The 20,145-nt window shown below is 35.7% G+C and overlaps 1 long non-coding RNA gene across 1 annotated transcript in view; it reads right to left on the bottom strand.

Moving 5' to 3' along the window:
* Positions 1-3,120: 3,120 nt before the first annotated feature.
* The window catches only part of LOC107986540 (uncharacterized), a 37,452-nt gene continuing 20,427 nt past the window's right edge, over positions 3,121-20,145 (bottom strand). The window contains exon 3 of the long non-coding RNA XR_001743881.1: positions 3,121-3,427. This is a non-coding gene — a long non-coding RNA (uncharacterized LOC107986540). The remainder of the gene's footprint in view (positions 3,428-20,145) is intronic.

Raw genomic sequence — 20,145 nt, 5'->3', positions numbered from 1 at the left:
CAGTAAACCAATCCTTAATACAATATGAAACAAATCTAAGTTTAAATAATAGTGACCAATTTACAGGTGATATCAAAAAGGCAAACCTAAAACGCTCCACAGCAATAACAAGTAAGAACGAGAGGCACATTTTCAAATAATTTAAGACATGCTAAGTTTTTTTTTTCTTGATTCAGAGGAGGAGAGATACATTGAATAATTTGAAGAATAAAAATTATTTTAGGTAAATTATTAAATATCAAAATCATTGCTGTCAAAATATGTGTGTATGTGTATTTCAGCTAAAAATAAGGAAAACAATACATAGAGAATGCATTGTAAGCAAAATACAAAGCAACATTTCTAAAAATATTATCATACGGTATATAAATATTATATTATCACAGTAATTTTTAAAAGTTAATAACTATTAAGAGACAGAGAAACTGAGATTGGATAAGAAACTTTTGTTGATCTATATTACTCTTAGGTAATTATGATAAACAGAATCTAGTAAAAATATGTTTTAATTTTTAAGATAAATGAAAATAGTGCAATATCAGTGTACAACAATTTTTTTGCTTAATAATTGTGGTAAAAAATGTAACATGAGATTTACACTCTTATATTTTAAAGTGCACAATGCAGTATTGTTAAGTATAAGCACAACGTTATACTATAGATATCTATGATTTATTCATTTTGAATTAGTGACATTTTATACCCATTGAATAACCCATTCCCTCCTCCACTCAATTGCTGGCAACTACCCTTCTATTCTAAGTTTCTATGAGTTTGACTAACTCCTATACTTCATATATAAATTTTGAATGTAATTATTCAAAATTCATTCTTCTGTGACTGGCTTATTTCACTTATCATTATGTCTTCCAAATCCATCCACAGTGTTGCATATGGCAGTATTGCCTTCATTTTAAGGCTGAATAAGGAGCCAGTATATGTATATAACACATTTTCCTTTTCCATTCATCTGGCAATGTATATTTAGGTTCTCAAATCTAGATTTGTGAATAATGCTGCAATGAACATGAGAGTACAAATATCTCTTCAATATCCTTATTTCAATTTCTGTGGATATATACCCAGAATTGGAATTTCTCACTTATAAGGTAATTCTATTTTTAATTTTTGAGAGAACTCCATACTGATTTCCATAAAGGCTAAATCATTTTACATTCATACCAACATTGTGCAGGGTTCCAATTTCTTTATGTAGTGCCAACATGTTTTCTTTGTTAATTTAGCAATAATCTTCCTAACAAGTGTGAGGTGATACCTGCTTGTGATTTTAAATTGCATTTCCCTGATAAATAGTGATACTGAGCATATCTTTATATGCCTGTTTGTCTTCTGTATTTCTTCCTTGGAGAAATTTCTATTCAAGCCCTTTACCTATTTTTAAATTGTTTAACCCCTTGTCAGATGTATGGTTTTCAAGTATTTTCTCCCATTCTGAAGGTTGCTTTTTCACTCTGTTTCTTTTGTTCCGAAAATACTTTCATTTTGATATTGTTCCACTTTTCTGTTTGTACTCTTGTTGCTTTTGCTTTTGCTGTCGTATAAAATAAGTCATTGTCTAGACCAATGTCATGAAGCTTTCCTCCTGTTTTCTTCTAGGAGTTTTACAGGCATAGGCTTTATGTTCAACGTTTTAATCAATTTTGGGTTGATTTTTGTGTATGGTGTAATATAAGAGTCCAGTTTCATTCTTCTGTATGTGGATATGCAGTTTTCATATCACCATTTATTGAAGAGATTCTCCTTTACCCATTGTGTTTTTCGGGGACCATTGTAAAAAGTCAGCTAACCACATATATGTGGGTTTATTTCTCAGCTCTCTATCTGCTCTATTGGTTTTTATGTCTGTCTTTAAGTCAGTAGACTGCTTAAATACTGTAGCTTTGTAATGTATTTTAAAATCAGAAAGTTTGATGTCACTAGCTTTATTCTTCTTTCTCAAGATTGCTTTGGTTATTCAGGGTTTTTCTGGTTCCATACGAATTTTAGGATTTTTTTTAAATTTCTCTATAATAATACCATTGAGATTTTGATAGAGATTGCATTGGTTCTGTAGGCCACTTTAGGTAGAATTGACATTTAAACAATATTACATTATCTAACTTAAGAACACAGATTTTTTTTTCATTTTTCTGTTTCTTTTTCAGTGTATTTAATGGCGTTTTATAGTTTTCAGTGTACCAGATTTTTGCCTCCTTGGTTAAGTTTTTTCCTTAGTATTTTATAATTTTTTATTATATTGTAAACTGGAAGGTTTTCTTAATTAATTTTCAGACAGTTCAGTGTTGGTGTATGACAATGTAACTAATTTTTTCATGTAATTTTGCATCCCATAATTTTACTGAATTTGTTTATTAGTTTTAGCAGTTATTTTTGTAGTCTCTTTAGGGTTGTCTGCCTACAAGATCATATCATCTGTATGATCCTCTTACTTTCTGATTTGAATAACTTTTTTTTTTCTTTTGCGACGGAGTTTTGATCCTGCTGCCCAGCCTGGAGTGCAGCGGCATGATCTCGGCTCGCTGCAACCTCTGCCACCCGGTTCAAGCGATTCTCCCACCTCAGCCTCCTGAGTAGCTGGGACAACAGGTGCATGCCACCAGGCCCAGCGATTTTTTTTTCTTTTGTATTTTTAGTAGAAACAGGGTTCTGCCATGTTGACCAAGTAGGTCTGGAACTCCTGACCTCAAGTGATCCACCAACCTCAGCCTTCCAAAGTGGTGGGATTACAGGCGTGAGCCACCATGCTCAGCCTGATTTGACTTTTGTATTTTCTTCACTTATTACTCTGTACAGTTTTTTTTAGTACTACTTTAAATAGAAGTTTTAAGGCATATGAAAACTGTTAAGGACAAATGAGAACAATAGTTATTGAAAAAAAAAGTATCCTCCAAAACATTCTTCTTAATTGACTAGTATGGATTTAACCTCAATGTATAAAAATAGATAAGCAGAAACTTCTGTAAAAACATATACATTGACCAACTTAAAAATGAGATTTTTTTATTATACTTTAAATTTTAGGGTAGATGTGCACAACGTGCAGGTTAGTCACATATGTATACATGTGCCGTGTTGGCGTGCTGCACCCAGTAACTCGTCATTTAACATTAGGTATATCTCCAAATGCTATCCCTCTCCCCTCCCCCCAAAATGAGATATTTTTAATACGTCTTTGAAATGTAGAACAAAAATTTTTAAGAAAATAGAATATGTCAGTAACACGATAAAAAAGTTTGAAGCCATAGAAGTAAGGATGAGAGAAAAAGAGAAAGAGAGAGAGAGAAAAAACATGTACTGTCTTTTATAATCCAGTCTTGGATGTCCCATAGCATTGCTTCTGCTGCCTTGTATTAGATGAGGCAGTTACCAACTTCAGCCAATGTTCAGATGAAGGGAATATATACACCTATGAGAGAAAAACCAGTGTCACAGAATTTCTAAAAAAAGGACTTCTGAAATAGGATTTATATTAATATAGACATTTTGTGATTTTCAATCTATTTATAACATTTGAAATGTTTGGATGCCCCATTCTTAAATTCATTGGGGCTTACTCAACAGGTGTGTAATTTATGCATGTATATATACATGGTGCTACATACCTAACTTCCTCAACTTTTCTACATCCGTCTTAGTTTATCTTGGACTAGAAGTCTAAGTATTAACTCAATTACTTAACTATCATTAAAAACATAATTTAGGATTCCAAATGTCAATTTAAATTTCTTGCTATGTTTCTGAAGTTAAGAAATTACTTGGAGTATACTATTCAGTTGGTTTATTTTATCTTGTGGATAATAATGTGGGAAATTAGAAAGCCAAGATAGTATTATTTTGTTAAGCAGATAAATAAAAATATAAAAATCCAGTCTGAAATAAAGTAAAAAAGTAACATTTGAATAATAATGTTTACCACAATGTACAGGTTTACAGTTTGAAGATTGTAACATATTTTAGTGCCTCAGTTGTCATTTTATTCATTACAGAAATTGGCTTCGATATGTCAGCTATGACTTTATTTAAAACCATGGCCAAAACATTAATATTCCCACAAGAGAAATTTCAGTCATTATATTGATTTTTATCCTGCAGTATAATTCACCATTGTGTGCATGTTCCATTTGCTTTCTAATTTATATTAACTGCCCTATTTATTGTGGTAAGAGGTTGCTCTTATGAAGTACTTGGGTGACCTAAGAGTTTACATAATTTATTTGATAAGACTACTTAGCTGTAATATGTTGCAATTTTTTAGCCAGTCAACAGTCTATACAGAATTATATAAGCAACCATAAATAACTTATTTCTATGTGGAGATGTCTATTTCAAGATTTTAAAAAATTACTTAACATTTTAGGAGTATTACTCAAATAACTGATTTATACTGTGCCTTACTTATCTTCCAGAAAGTGTGAATATATCTGTACCCATTTTAGATAACAATATGTATTAACAAATAGTAAAAATATTATATGATGTACAAATATATAAAGCTTCCTCAATCAATACCAATCAATTGGTTCTGAACTGTTTGTCTTTTTTTCAGAATTAATATGTTAGCAATATTCATATTATGCTTTATATCACTAGTCCTCAAAAGGCAGTCTTTAGAACAGCAGCCTCAGCACCACTTGGGAGATTGTTACAAATGCAGTCTTAGATCTCCATCACACTTACTGATTCAGCATCTGTGGGGATGAGGCCTGGCAATTTGTATTTGTACAAGGCTTCCAGGTGCATGCTGTAATTTGAGAACCAACTCTATATTCATTTTCTGAGTTGACATTCATTTAGATTAAACACTGGACTTAGTTCAGATTATTTTCAAGTCGGGATAGGGACTAAGTATGTGATGAGCTCTTTCGAAGAAATCCTATAAATGAATTACAATAGAAATTCTTGGCCTCTTGCTTGAGCAATGCAACAAACTAGTGTATACCATATCTCCTATCACAAAAGGATTATTTCCCACACATAATTTAGCATTCCTAGGAAGTATTTTCAGTCAAGGTCATTACAGCTAAATAAATTAAATAGTAAACCATTACTATTTTCTCAAATAATGTTGGCAAGTCTTAGCCCTCTTAAAATCAAGACTAATTGTTTTTTGTTTTGTTTGTTATTCTTGTTGTTGTTGTTTGTTTTTGAGATGGAGTCTCGCTCTGTCACCCAGGTTGGAGTACAGTGGCGTGATCTCGGCTCACTGCAACCTCCACCTTCCAGGTTCAAGTGATTCTCATGCCTCAGCCTCCCAAGTAGCTAGGATTACAGGTGCACATCATAACCTGGTTAATTTTTGTATTTTTAGTAGAGATAGGGTTTCACCATGTTGGCCAGGGTGGTCTTGAACTCCTAACCTCAGGTGATCTGCCTGCCTCGGCCCCCCAAAGTGCTGGGATTACAGGCTGCCTTGAGTGGCTTCTAAAAACACAATCACCAAAATTCCCCAAGTTGGACCTACAAACATTGTTTGTTGACAAATTATTATGGATTTGGATGCCCTTTTTGCTGGTAGAGAATTTTATTGTCATGTGGATTCCATGTTTCTTCACTATCTTTTAGCTCTAAATGTAGGTCTGCTCTACCTGTTTACTGTTTTCTATACCATCTTCTTGCTTTGCATGTATGCAAAGTATAGTTAAAAAACTTTCCCATGGCCAGGTGTGGTGGCTTATGCCTGCCAATCCCAGCCCTTTGGGAGGCCTAGGCGGGTGGATCACCTGAGGTCAGGAGTTTGAGACCAGCTTGGCCAACATGGTGAAACTCCATCTCTACTAAAAATACAAAAATAAAAAAATAGCCAGACATGGTGATGGGCACCTGTAATCCCAGCTACTTCGGAGGCTGAGATGGGAGAATCTCTTGAACCCGGAAGGCGGAGGTTGCAGTGAGCTGAGATCATGCCACTAGACTCTATCCTGGGTGACAGAGTGAGACTGTGTCAAAAACAAACAAACAAACAAACAACAAAACCTTCCCATGTACCCTATTTACTCATAGAGAAAGCTTTAGAATACCATCATAGGTCACATAACCATGTGTAACACAAAATTTATAACTTTCCAAATGAGATTGAAACCTTTTCTGTCAATTAGTCTGACTCTACCATTTTCTTTTTTAACTTGAAATTATAAAAACCTGATTATTACATTTTTATGGCATTAATTTAATTTTTAGCATTTATAATGACTAATGAACCCATTTTTTCTCTCAAATTTAATTTCCTAATTTTTTGATAATCATTCTTTATCACATCTGAGGAGTTTAGAAATGGACATGTACATCTGTGAAGCTATGACTTTCGTGTAGTTCTATTTGACTTTCTGAGTCTCTATCTTCCTCCTATTCATAGAGTTTTCTTAAAACCTATGTATATCCTCCAAACAGCCTTTCTCTATCTTCTTTTCTGAATCCAGAGTGAATTAGGTGAATATGATGAACAGTTTGTAGCCTTTCTATATGAACAGAAAAAATGTAAAAAGCCTCGTTTGGGGCTTTACTCTTTATGATGTGAAGTTCATTATGCTTATTTCAGAGATGTTCATATTAGACCCTAAGATTTTCTGTCCCATGACTCTTGGGATTCTAAATAAGGTAAGCAAATGGAATGGCATGTTTACATTCTAATCTAAACGCTATTTTGTGGTAATAGGATTTTCTTTTAGGATGTTAAAATGTGTTGAGGAGCATGCCTGCAGAGACCACACAGTGCACAGAATGAGCCAAATCATCCCATTACATTCAATTAGGTATGGTAAGAAAGATAAACATAACAAATGAGCCTGCGGAATATGCAAACAGTTTGAAGGAAAAAAATGGAAATGAGAGAACTGCCAAATGACAAGCAAGCGCTGGTACTTTGGCAAAAGATTTAAGTGACATTTCTTTCAGACATTAATAAAGTCATAATGATGGTATTATTTAAAGAGTAGTATTAAATAGAGAACCAATCCTTCAGGTTTCTTCAAATGAGATGAATATCTCTTTCCTTGCTAGGTGTTTAAAGAATCATTTTCATATCTGTAAGTACCATTTCACGGAATGACTTATCTTCTGTGCAGTTCCTCTTAACTCAGTCATGCTCAGGTTTATTAATTACTTAGCACAAAGCAACATATATTAGTGTAAGAAAAATATAAAATAACAGAATACTGTGCTCTGCTGAATTTCACCTAAAGCTGGCTTAAGAACATTTTTTAATCATTTTACCCATAGACTAGCTGATGCCCTTTGATCAATTAATTATTCTATAATCTCTTCTCTAACTTTTAGTTATTCTAGCATTCTCTTGAAAGTTTTTTTTTCGTCCTTGATTTATGAGTATTTTCCCCCAAATTTCAAAATACTAGAAACTAAGTGCAGGTTTTTGCTGATAATAAAAGTAATACAACTAATACATCATGTGGGTTTGACTATTGAATGAACATATTCAATAATTTGAATGTACACATAAATGAACATATCATGGAATATTTCTAATATCCTTTCAGCTTTCATATTTATTTCTGAAAACAACTGACTTAAGCCAGGCATGGTGGCTCACACCTGTAATTCCAGCAATTTGGGAGGCTGAGGTGGGTGGATCTCTTGAGGTCATGAGTTTGAAACCAGCCTGGCCAACATGGTGAAACCCCATCTCTACTAAATTACAAAAAAAATTATATAAGCGTGGTGTCGTGCACCTGTAATCCCAGCTCCTTGAAAGACTGAGGTTGGAGAATCGCTTGAATGAAAAAGGCAGAGATTGCAGGGAGCCATCAGGCCACTTCATTCCAGCCTGGGCAACAGAGTGAGACTCTCTCTCAAAAAAACAAACGAAAACAACAAGAACAACAAGAAAATAATTGACATTAATAATTTCAACTGTTGTTTCTGTTAAAGTGGTTTCAAATTGCATGTAGTTTCTAATTTTTTTTCAGTATCACATTTCCACATTTCCTTATTTACAATTGGTTTGCAGCCAGTGCATTGAAAAGTGAATTCCCTTTTAAGCAGATTTGGATTATAATTCCAAAAGACACAATCCTCAATACTGAAATCCCTAAATATCAAAATTCCTAAAGATAAAAATCTCTAAAGCCGAAGCCTCTAAAATTGAAAATCTCCAATGTCTAATTAAACTTCCAAATTGTAATGACAGACTTGGCATTAGGAGTGATCAAGATTTCTAAAAGTGAATTTCAAGTTATCATCTATAAATTTTTTTCATTTCAGCCCAGTAAATGTGGCAGAAAGTCAAGATAAGTGGATTTGCCATGCAATATGGCAACATGGAAAACTTCAATTTAAAAAAGCATCATTTGTCAGCATTGGCATTCCCATCGATTGATGAAATTCCAGGAGTTTTTTTTTTTTTTTTTTTTTTTTGAGACGGAGTTTCTCTCTTTCGCCCTGGCTGGAGTGCAGTGGCGCTATTTCAGCTCACTGCAAGCTCCGCCTCCCGGGTTCACGCCATTCTCCTGCCTCAACCTCCTGAGTAGCTGGGACTACAGGCGGTAAAAATCCAAAAAAAAAAAAAAAAAAAAAAAATTAGCTGGGCGTGGTGGCGGGCGCCTGTAGTCCCAGCTACTCGGGAGGCTGAGGCAGGAGAATGGCAGGAACCAGAAGGCAGAGCTAGCAGTGAGCCGAGATAGCACCACTGCACTCCAGCCTGGGCGACAGAGCGAGACTCCATCTTAAAAAAAAAAAAAAAATTATGTTTGCCCTAAGAAGCCAGTGAAGTTACTGAACTTCAAAAATGGCAACTGTGTTGTTGTTGAATCAACAGTGTTATTTCAGCCGAATTTGTGGTCTGCATCTAAGTGCACACAAAATGGATTTCCACATGTCCAAAACAACATAAAAGCATGGCATAGAAGATGAAAAATTTTAATAAGAAATGCTCATGTTCATTTATAGCAAATCATAGAAGTATTTAGGTAAGAGTAGTGTCACATAGAAAATGAATGTGAATGAATTTTCTGAGAAAAGCTGTGTCTTTAACAAAAGCAGCTATTTCTTGTGAGGTAAAACTTCAAAATATAATTAATGCTTGTGAAAATCTACCAGCTCTTATTGACTATCTCTGTGCAACTGCTCAACTGCTCATAATCTATCACTGCAATAAACTTTTTCATATGTCAGATTTTCTTTTTAGATTTTTTCATTATTTTGAACTGTCAGCATTATTCTTTACAATTTTTATGCTAAGTATTTCACCTTTGTATCATTTCCAATACTGAAAGTATAAATTGTGTAGAGACTTTTAGAGAGTTTAATTTGTTTATGCGTTTTTTTGCAAATTTGATTCCAAGAAAGAACATTATCACATTTGCTTTGTGTGTAAGTATTCTGCATGTACCTAAAAATGTTGACACTTCCTCAGTAAAGGAAGATATGTTTTTGCTGTATATATGCATTTGTGAAAGATACAATTTGTTGGGATCTTGGCTGTTTGGGCAACTCCATATATAGTGGTGACCTACTGTGGTTTTGTATTGACCTTGTCAAAAGACCTAGGTTGTTTATCATGGTATTACAGATGACTACATTTATGAAGCTGAGTACACACAGTTACTAACCAAAGTGACATGTATTTATCCATTTCCCTTTCTGTCCTACCATCTATGAATAAGTTTTGTCTGTTCATAACTGTTGTACTCATGCAACTGTGATTAGTACACCCAAATGTTTATGCTTGCAAAAATATGTATGCTATTTTTGCCTATTTTATTGTGCAAAGTGGCAAATGATGTGTTCTGTTGTGTTTTTATATGTTTGTCAAATAAATCTCCTTTTGAAAATGTAAACACATTTATTTTAAAGATTTCTAAAAATTTTTTTTCAGAAATATATTTACAGGATTTTGATTTTTGGGGATTTCAACATGCAGAATTAACAGGTTCAGGAGTTTATCTTTTGGGATGGTGATTAGCTATCCTTTTAAATATGTACTTGTTCCCAACTTTCCTTTTACTGTTTTTAAGACTTTTAGTCTATTTAGAACTGCAACTTCAAATCAGTGGGACTGCAATCTTTCCATTGCTTTTTCTTTCTTATGTATTGTATGTTCTTTTTCAAAGCCTCTTTCAAAATGGATTATTTTTCTCCTTAGCTAACTTGGAAACCAAGAAGTGAATCCTTATGCCTAGATGTTAAGCATTTGGATTTCTTACATATTGTCACCTTTATGTATCCTGCAACCAGCTGCAGCATTGCTTAGGTAGCCCCTCCAAAATACCTGTTTTGTTAATTATTGCCCATGGTACCTTTTTACTCTGTCTAGATCCATTCAATATTTATTGGGTACATACTACAGTCCTTGCCCTCTTGAGGTCTTATGCTGTTCAAACCTAAGTATTTTGTCACCAGTTCCCATCACCAGAAGCGTGCTGTCTAATACAAATATAAAATAAGCCTAAAAATGAGAGCTTGATATCATTTGGCTCTGCATCCCCACCCAAATCTCATGTTGAATTATAATCCCTAGTGTTGGAGGTGGGGCTGGGTGGGAGGTGATTGGATCATGAGAGTGTTTTCTAATGGTTTAGCACCGTTAGTGCTGTCTCAAAAGATCTGATTGTTTAAAGGTGTGTGGCACCTTCCCCTTCACTCTGTCTCTCTCCTGTCCCACCGTGTGAAGATGTGCCTCCTTCCACTTTTGCTTTCTGGCATGAGTAATAATTTCCTGAGGCCACACCAGCCATGCTACCTGTAAAGCCTGCAAAACCATTAGCCAATTAAGCCTGTTTATAAATTATGCAGTCTCAGGTAGTTATTTATAGTAGGGTAAGAATGAACTAATGAAGATAATTGGTACCAGGAATGGGGTATTGTTATAAAAATACCTGAAAATGTGGAAGTGGTTTTGAAACTGAGTAAGAGCTGAGGTTGAAACTGTTTGAAGGGCTCACAAGAATATGGGAAGATGAGGGAAAATTTGGAACTTCCTAGAGATTTGTTAAATGGCTGTGACCAAAATACTGATAGTGATATGGACAGTGAAGTCCAGGCCTAGGTGGTCTCAGATAGAGATGAGGAACTTATTGCAAACTGAGTAAAGTTCACTCTTATTATGCTTTAGCAAAGAGACTGGCAACATTTTGCTCCTGCTCTAGGGATCTATGGAACTTTGAACTTGGGAGAGATGATTTAGAGTATCTGGCAGAAGAAACATTCTAATCAGCAAAGCACTCAAGATGTGGCCTGGCTGCTTCTAACAGTGTATGTTTATATTCATGAGCAAATAGATTTTCTAATATTGAAACTTATATTTAAAGGGAAAGCAGCACATAAAAGTTTGGAATATTTCCAGTCTGACCATGTGGTAGAAATGAAAAACCTATTTTCTAAGGAGGAATTCAAGGCAGCTGTAGAAATTTTCATAAGAAAAGAGAAGCCAAATGTTAATAGCCGATACAATGGGCTAAATGACTTGAAGGCATTTCAGATACCTTCATTGCAGCTCCTCCCATCACAAACCTGGAGGCCTAGGAGAAAAGAATGGTTTTGAGGGACAGACCCAGGGCCCTACTACACTGTGCAGCCTTGGGGCATTGCACCCTGCATTATGGCCATTCTAGCTCCAGATCCACCTCCAGCTATGGCTAAAAGGGACCAAGGTATAGCTCAGGCCTTTGCTTCAGATGTTGCAAGCCCTAAGCCTTGGCAGCTTCCATGTAGTGTTAAGCCTTCAGGTGTGCAGAGGGCAAAAGTTGAGGCTTGGAAGCTTCTGTCTAGATTTCAGAGGATATATGGAAATGCCTGGATGTCCAGGCAGAAGTCTGCTGAGGGGGTGGAGCCCTCATCATGAATCTCTACTAGGGCAGTGCAGAGGAGATATGTGGGGTTGGAGCCCCCACACAGAGTCCCCACTGGGGCACTGCCTAGTGGAGCTGTGAGAGAGGGCCACTGTTCTCCAGACCCCAGAATGGTAGGCCCACCATCTTGCACTTGGAAAAGCCACAGGCACTCAATGACAGCCCAGGAGAACAGCTGAGGGGGCTGTACCCTGCAGAGCCAAAGGGGCAGGGCTGCCTAAGGCCTTGGGAACCCACCCCTTGCATCAGTGTTGCCTGGATGTCAGACATGGTGTCAAAGGAGATTATTTTGGAGTTTTGAGAATTAATGACTGTTCTTCTGGGTTTTGGACTTGCATCGGGCCTGTAGCTCCTCTGCTTTGGTTAATTTCTTCCTTTTAGAGAAGGAGCATGTACCACATTCCTGTACCCCCATTGTATCTTGAAAATAACTACATTGTTTTTATTTTACAAGGTCATAGGCAGAAGGGACTTGCTTTTTCTCAGATTAGACTTTGGAATTGAACTTTTGCGTTAATGCTGGAATGAGTGAAGACTTTGGGGGACTGCTGGGAAGGCATGATTGCCTTTTGAAATGTGAGAAGAACGTGAGACTTGGGAGGGACCAAGGGGAAATAATATGGTTTGGTTCTGTGTCCCAACCCAAATATGATGTTGAATTATAATCCCCAGTGTTGGAGGTGGGGCCTGGTGGGAAGTGACTGGATCATGAGGGTGGTTTTTAATGGTTTAGCACCATCCCCCTAGTGTTGTCTCATAATAAGAGTTCTCATGAGATCTGGTTGCTTAAGAGTGTGTGGCACCTTCCTCTTCATACTCTCTCTCTCTCGCTCTGCCATGTGAAGACATGCCTGCCTCCCCTTTTGCTTTCTGCCATGATTGAATGTTTCCTGAGGCCTCACCAGCCTGAAAAAATTGTGTATGAATTAAACCTATTTTATTTATAAATTACCCAGTCTCAGGTAGTTCTTTATGGAAATGTGAGAATGGGCTAATAGAGAGCCATAGGTGTAATTAAACATTTTATAATAGCCACATTAAAAAATAAAAATCAACAGTTAAAATTTGTTTTAATTATATATTTTATTTTGCTATGTATGTCAAAAATGTATCTGATGTGTCACAAGTATTCTTATTTTCACTACATTTTAAGTTTGCAAATAGAGAAATGGGCTAGTAGCCTGTATGTTAGGCAGAGCAGTTCTAGAAAATGGAATTCTTCTCAACACCTTTCCTGACTAAGTTTATTTTAGTATAATCATTCCTTTTTTTTTCTTTCTCACAGCAATGTTTGAATAAAATAGAGGAAAACATAAAAGTCAAGGAGCAAACAACTGAAACTAGAATTTGCTTAAATTTTATTTTACCCTTCTGGTAGACTAGCCATTTAAATAATCTGAATTCTACTGTCCTTAATTTACTTTTTCTTCAAAACCTATGTACATGGTTAAAAAATGAATGCTAATTCAAAACATCTAACCAAACCCATGAATTCCTGTCCTAAATCCATTTCACTTTTGCTTCACACTCACTAGTATCAACAAATTGCAATTCATTCAGTTGTTTCTTCTGGCACCTACTTTCCTATTTTTAATATATAATCTACTGACTTTTATAAATGTTTTATTTCATATATCATTTATTGATTTCCAAACACAGACCATGAGAATGTTGTATTCTTAAAACTGTCCCCCTCCACATCCACACTTTCAAACTTTATCTTTCTCTCTTGTCTTTCCTCTCCAAGCTCCTATTATATTTATATCACAGTTTCCAGTTGAATCTATACATTACTTGGACCATGTAAATGTTGTTCACAACTGAGCAAATACAGTATATTTACATTCTTTTTTTGAGCATCTAATGATTTTCTCTAGAAAAAATAATTGCTCACTATTTTTTTTGTCTTTACATCTGATAATATATCTATTTTTTTCTCCAGTTTTCCAGTCTGGCTGGGAGCCTTATAGTCTCCACTCAATATAGCAAAACACATTAAATAACATAACTTCCTTTTATTTTGCTTGAAATATCTTATATTCTTAAATATTCTCTCCAGTTACTCCAATCTGGGTTGGATATTCTTAGAATCAGCTTCACAGATCTTTTTGGGAGTGCCTTAAATCTCTCTTCTGTATTGGATATTTTGTATTGTATGGATTTGTGGACACTGTGTTGGCTCAACCTTAATTTGCTATGTTGTTTAGAAAAAGCACATGCTTGTAGTAGTGTCCTGAACATTAGTGTTTTGGTGCTATATTAGTTTTGAGAACCCAGATGCTGAAATTATTTTATTTTTAGAAATAAGACATTTTAAAAATGCGGATGGGTATATACCAAAAATGGTGAATGAGTCTTGTTCAGCCTCCCATTCTCAAAATGTGGCAGAATACAATTCTTATCTTCTGAGAGAGAAGGGCTAAGGGAGAGAAGGATAAAGCTCTTAGTGTATGAAAAAAGTAGGCAACATTTTCTCAGGTGGAAGGCAGATACATTGTGATTTCTAATGTTCTCATGTTTCTCCTGGCTCATCTGGAAAATGAATGAAACCAGCACTAAATAACCTGTATTTCTTAGAATCTCTCTTTAGCCATAGCAATTAAATAGCCAACGGCCCAAGAATCATCTCCACTTGTCTTTCTAACCAGAACAGACAAACACCATTATGTGACTCTAACAAGCACCTGGGACCATAAAGATTAGGGATATATAGCCAGAACTATATATGTCTAGAATTTCTAGACAGAATTCTGAAGACTTACCCTAACAACTTTAAATTTCATGGGATTTAAGTTTTTGAATTACACTTAACATATTATTGTGAAGATTTTACACAATTATCTTCACAATTCAATGCTTTTGGGAGGTTAAGTATAGAAACCTATGTTGGAAAGAATTTTTCTTCTGAAGTTGAAAGCATTTATCTATTGTTCTCTCACTTCCAGCATCACTGTTGTAATATCTGATGGTATTTGGATCCTAGTTCCCTTTTGTGTAACTTTCCTCCAGTTCCTGAAAGGCTTTAGAACTTTCTTTTTATCCCCAGTCCTCTGAAAGGTATTGATGACTGACTGAGACATCTTTTTCATTCATCGTGCTAGGAATTCAGTGGGCTTTTTAAATTCAGAAACTTACGAGCTGAGCTGAAATGATTTTCCTTACTTCATTTACCTCATCTACTTTCTGGAAAATTTTTTCAACATTCTACTAAAATTTTATTTTCTCCTATTATTTTTTAAAACTTTAATAGACTTTTAATTCTCTGGTTATTCATTTGAAAGAATTGCTATTCTTTCACTAAACCAGTATTTTTTTCATTTATAGTTACTTTAAAATATTTTCTTTGTTACATGTGGCATCTAAATTTCCTCCAGTCTTCATTTGCTTATCTTCATTTTAGAGACTCTCCCTCAGTGTGTGAAGTTCAATGTATATATAGCCATGTATAAAAGAAAAACACTAAAAAATTAAGTAGAGATCATAGATGCATGAGCTGCACTTTTTGAGAAGTGTAGGGTAATAGGCCAGGATACAGATATTTTCTTGGAAGCCCTTAGATATTACTGCAGAATTTCTCTCTTGGTCAGCTTTTTAGAGAGGAATTATCTAACATTTTGCCTAACAAGTATAAATAGGTTGGTATTATTCTGGAAGATGAGTTAGAGAAATGGTATGCAGGTTTTAACTTATTTCTCTTAACTTTGGTAAAGAGTAGCCCCCAACCTCATCCATTTTAACGCATATGAGTCTATAAACTCTTGCATTTAGTTTTTGCAGAAAATAAAACTCCATCCTCCTACTTGGGTGGGAGACAGATGGTTGCCTGCTTGGTTTGGAGAGAGAGGTGAGAGTCTAAATATTCTCTATACTTTATTTTCAAGCAGTTATTCTGCTTTTATTCTCATTTTTCACAATCTAAGTATCTAGTAATTCTGTTTTTTGGGGACTTTCAAAATCTGCTTGATTTTAGTTGGCTTCCTTGACATTAGCATCTTCTTTTACTGGCATATAGCTTTCAGCATCCCTTACTCTGAAAATATCAGCATTTGCCTATTTGAATTTCATCTTACAAATTGTGTTGGTTTTCTTGTCTTCTATAGTCTCTTCCCTGTGCTTCGTGGATTTCATTTTTATCTATTTATACACGATTTGATTTATACCATGATTGATTATAATTTTTTATGAACCTTCTAAGAAAACAGAGATAAATTATTTCAGCTATTCATGTTTAAGCAGGAGTCTCAAGTTCTTCAAATTGAAAATGACAGCTACTTATTAAGATTGTGAAAAGACTAAATGAGGCTAAATGAGACATATGTGCAAATCTCCTAATACTGTTTTGTCACCTAGTTAGTTAACACCCTATCTTTAAATTTTAATGTATACAGTCTCTACTAAAGTAGACTAAAATTATTTCTCAAGTCAGGGACCATAATTCCTCTTTATTTTGTTTGCACTCATTTTTATATACTTAATAAATTGAAAATATTCAATAAATACTTAACCATTGAAAATATGTGTTTCAGAAGTTCAAAATGTGACTTATTTTCACACAGATATATAACTTAAAAATAAATTATCTCTCTACTAAGTAAAAATCTTTGTTCTTACTTAGCTTTATAATCTAGTCCTAAAAGATTATTACAGCCAAAATTAACTCACTAATTTGTGCAATTCTTTTCAAATGGAGCTATAATGGTAGTTTGTTTTACATAAATACAGTATAAAAATGACTTTTCCCACAAAAGCATTTCTCAAAAAAATTGACCACTGCATTTTCTATATTAAAACATTCAAATACTTGTTATGAGGTTTGCGATTATAAGACGTGTGTGTGTGTGTGTGTGTGTGTGTGTGTGTTATATTATGTAATTCACTAAAGATTTGTTGAATTTATTTATTCATGTTGTGGTGATTTTTAAATTCTTTTATTTTGATAGTAGAATTATTTTCTGTTGTGACATAATCAAGTACAACCTCACCCAGAGCAGTGTTTTGCACACAGCACACATCAGATTAGTGAAGAAGAAAGAAACCTCAACTAGATGGTACAGTAGGAGATTCCAACTTTTATTTTGCAAAGAGCAACAATTCAGTAGCTTTCCATTACCAAAAATAACTATGGACGAGCTTAGGAGTCCACTTAAGTCACAGAAATACAGCAAAGGAAAAACACAATAATAGCTGTACAAAATAGGTAGGAAGAGAAATTTCATTTTGCCTGCATCACCCCATCCCTTGAGCCAGTACAACTCAGCATAAAAGGGGAACTCCCTAACTCTTGTGGGCCCTTTACAGATGAAACAAATAAACAAAAAAGACTGCTGGATGTAAATCCAGGTTCCCCAGCTTTTTGGGACTCTACCAGAACCAACAGCACCAGTTATATCCAACCCAGATCTCTTTAGTGGGTGAATAGGACAAGAGGAGCATAGCAGAATTAGAGAGGGAGGGAGAGAGAAAGGGAAAAAAATAAGGGTAAATTAGGTATATTACCTCTGTTTTGATAATAATTTGGTCATTATTTTAGAAGAGTGACCCCACAGTTTTGTGTGCTGGAAAATAAAATAAAGAAGTCTTGTTTTTCAAAAAATAGCTTTTACTGGGGAGTCGCCAAGATGGCTGAATAGGAATAGCTCTGGTCTGCAGCTCTCAGCGTGATTGACACAGAAGATGGGTGAGTTCTGCATTTCCAACTGAGATACCTGATTCATATCATTGGGACTGGTTGGACAGTGGCTGCAGCCCACAGAGGGTCAGCTGAAGCAGGGTGAGTCCCTGACTGCTTTGTAGCCTAACTGGGAGACAGCTCCCAGTAGGGGCCAACAGACACCTCATACAGTTGGCTGGCCCTCTGGGATGAAGCTTCCAGAGGAAGGATCAGGCAGCAAGATTTGCTATTCTGCAATATCTGCTGTTCTGCAGCCTCCACTGGTGATACCCAAGCAAACAGGGTCTGGAGTGGAACTCCAGCAAACTCCAACAGACCTGCAGCTGAGGGACCTGACAAACTAACAAACAGAAAAGAATAGCATCAACATCAGCAAAAAGGTCATGTACATCAAAACCCTATCTGTAGGTCACCAACATCAAACACCAAAGGTAGATACAACCACAAAGATGGGGAGAAACCGGAGCAGAAAAGTGGATAATTCTAAAAATCGAGCACCTCTTCTCCTCCAAAGGATCACAGCTTCTTGCCAGCAATGGAACAAAACTGGACAAAGAATGACTTTGACACGTTGACAGAAGTAGGCTTCAGAAGGTAGGTAATAACAAACTTCTCTGAGCTAAAGAGGATGTTCGAACCCATCACAAGGAAGCTAAAACCTTGAAAAAAGATTAGACAATTGGCTAACTAGAATAAACAGTGTAGAGAAGATCTTAAATGACCTGATGGAGCTGAAAACCATAGCACGAGAACTTCGTGATGCATGCACAAGCTTCAATAGCCGATTCAATCAAGTGGAAGAAAGAGTATCAGTGATTGAAGATCAAATTAATGAAATAAAGCAAGAAGAAAAGGTTAGAGAAAAAAGAGTAAAAAGAAATGAATAAAGCCTCCGAGAAATATGGAACTATGTGAAAAGACCAAATCTATGTTTGATTGGTGTACCTGAAAGTGATGGGGAGAATGGAACCAAGTTGGAAAACACTCTTCAGGTTATTATCCAGGAGAACTTCCCCAACCTAGCAAGGCAGGCCAACATTCAAATTCGGGAAAAACAGAGAACACCACAAAGATACTCCTCGAGAAGAGCAACCCCAAGACACATAATTGTCAGATGCACCAAGGTTGAAATGAAGGGAAAATGTATTAAGGGCAGCCAGAAAGAAGGTCAGGTTACCCAGAAAGGGAAGCCCATCAGACTAACAGCAGATCTCTCAGCGGAAACCCTACAAGCCAGAAGAGAGTGGGCGCCAATATTCAACATTCTTGAAGAAAAGAATTTGCAACCCATAATTTCATATCCAGCCAAACTAAGCTTCATAAGTGAAGGAGAAATAAAATCTTTCACAGACAAGCAAATGCTGAGAAATTTTGTCACCACCAGGCCTGGCTTACAAGAGCTCCTGAAGGAAGCACTAAACATGGAAAGAAACAACTGGTACCAGCCACTGCAAAAACATGCCAAATTGTAAAGACCATCCATGCTATGAAGAAACTGCATCAATTAACGGGCAAAGTAACCAGCGAACATCATAATGAAAGGAACAAATTCACACAAACAATATTAAACTTCAATGTAAATGGGCTAAATGCCCCAATTAAAAGACACGGACTGGCAAATTGGATAAAGAGTCAAGACCCAACAGTGTGCGGTATTCAGGAGACCTGTCTCACGTGCAAAGATGCATTTAAGCTCAAAATAAAGGGTTGGGGGAAGATCTACCAAGAAAATGGAAAGCAAAAAAAAAAAAAAAAAAAAAGCAGGGGTTGCAATCCTAGTCTCTGATAAAACAGACTTTAAACCAACAAAGATCAAAGAGACAAAGAAAGCCATTACATAATGGTAAAGGGATAAATTCAACAAGAAGAGCTACCTATCCTAAATATATATGCACCCAATACAGGAGCACCAAGATTCATAAAGCAAGTCCTTAGAGACCTACAAAGAGATTTAGACTCCCACACAATAACAGTGGGAGACTTTAACACCCCAATGTCAATATTAGACAGATCAATGAGACAGAAGGTTAACAAGGATATCCAGGACCAGAACTTAGCTCTGCAACAAGAAGACCTAATAGACATCTACAGAAGTCTCCACCCCAAATCAACAGAATATACATTCTTCTCAGCCCACATCACACTTATTCTGAAATTGACCACATAATTGGAAGTAAAGCACTCATCAGCAAATGTAGAAGAACAGAAATCACAATAAACTGTCTCTCAGACCACAGTGCGATCAAATTAGAACTCAGGATTAAGAAACTCACTCAAAACAGCACAACTACATGGAAACTGAACAACCTGCTCCTAAATGACTACAGGGTACATAATGAAATAAAGGCAGAAATAAAGATATTCTTTGAAACCAATGAGAACAAAGACACAACATACCAGAATCTCTGGGATACATTTAAAGCAGTAGGTAGAAGGAAATTTATAGCACTAAATGCCCACAAGAGAAAACAGGAAAGATCTAAAATCGACACCATAACATCACAACTAAAAGAACTAGAGAAACAAGAGCAAACAAATTCAAAAGCTAGCAGAAGGCAAGAAATAATTAAGATCAGAGCAGAACTGAAGAGAGAGCGCCAAAAAATCCCTTCAAATTATCAATGAATCCAGGAGTTGCTTTTTTGAAAAGATCAA

This window comes from Homo sapiens, chromosome 6 (genome assembly GCF_000001405.40).
Source record: "Homo sapiens chromosome 6, GRCh38.p14 Primary Assembly".
Lineage (NCBI taxonomy): Eukaryota > Metazoa > Chordata > Mammalia > Primates > Hominidae > Homo > Homo sapiens.
The sequence above is the reverse complement of the archived record's forward strand: the minus strand, read 5'-3'. Positions and strand labels throughout refer to the sequence as shown.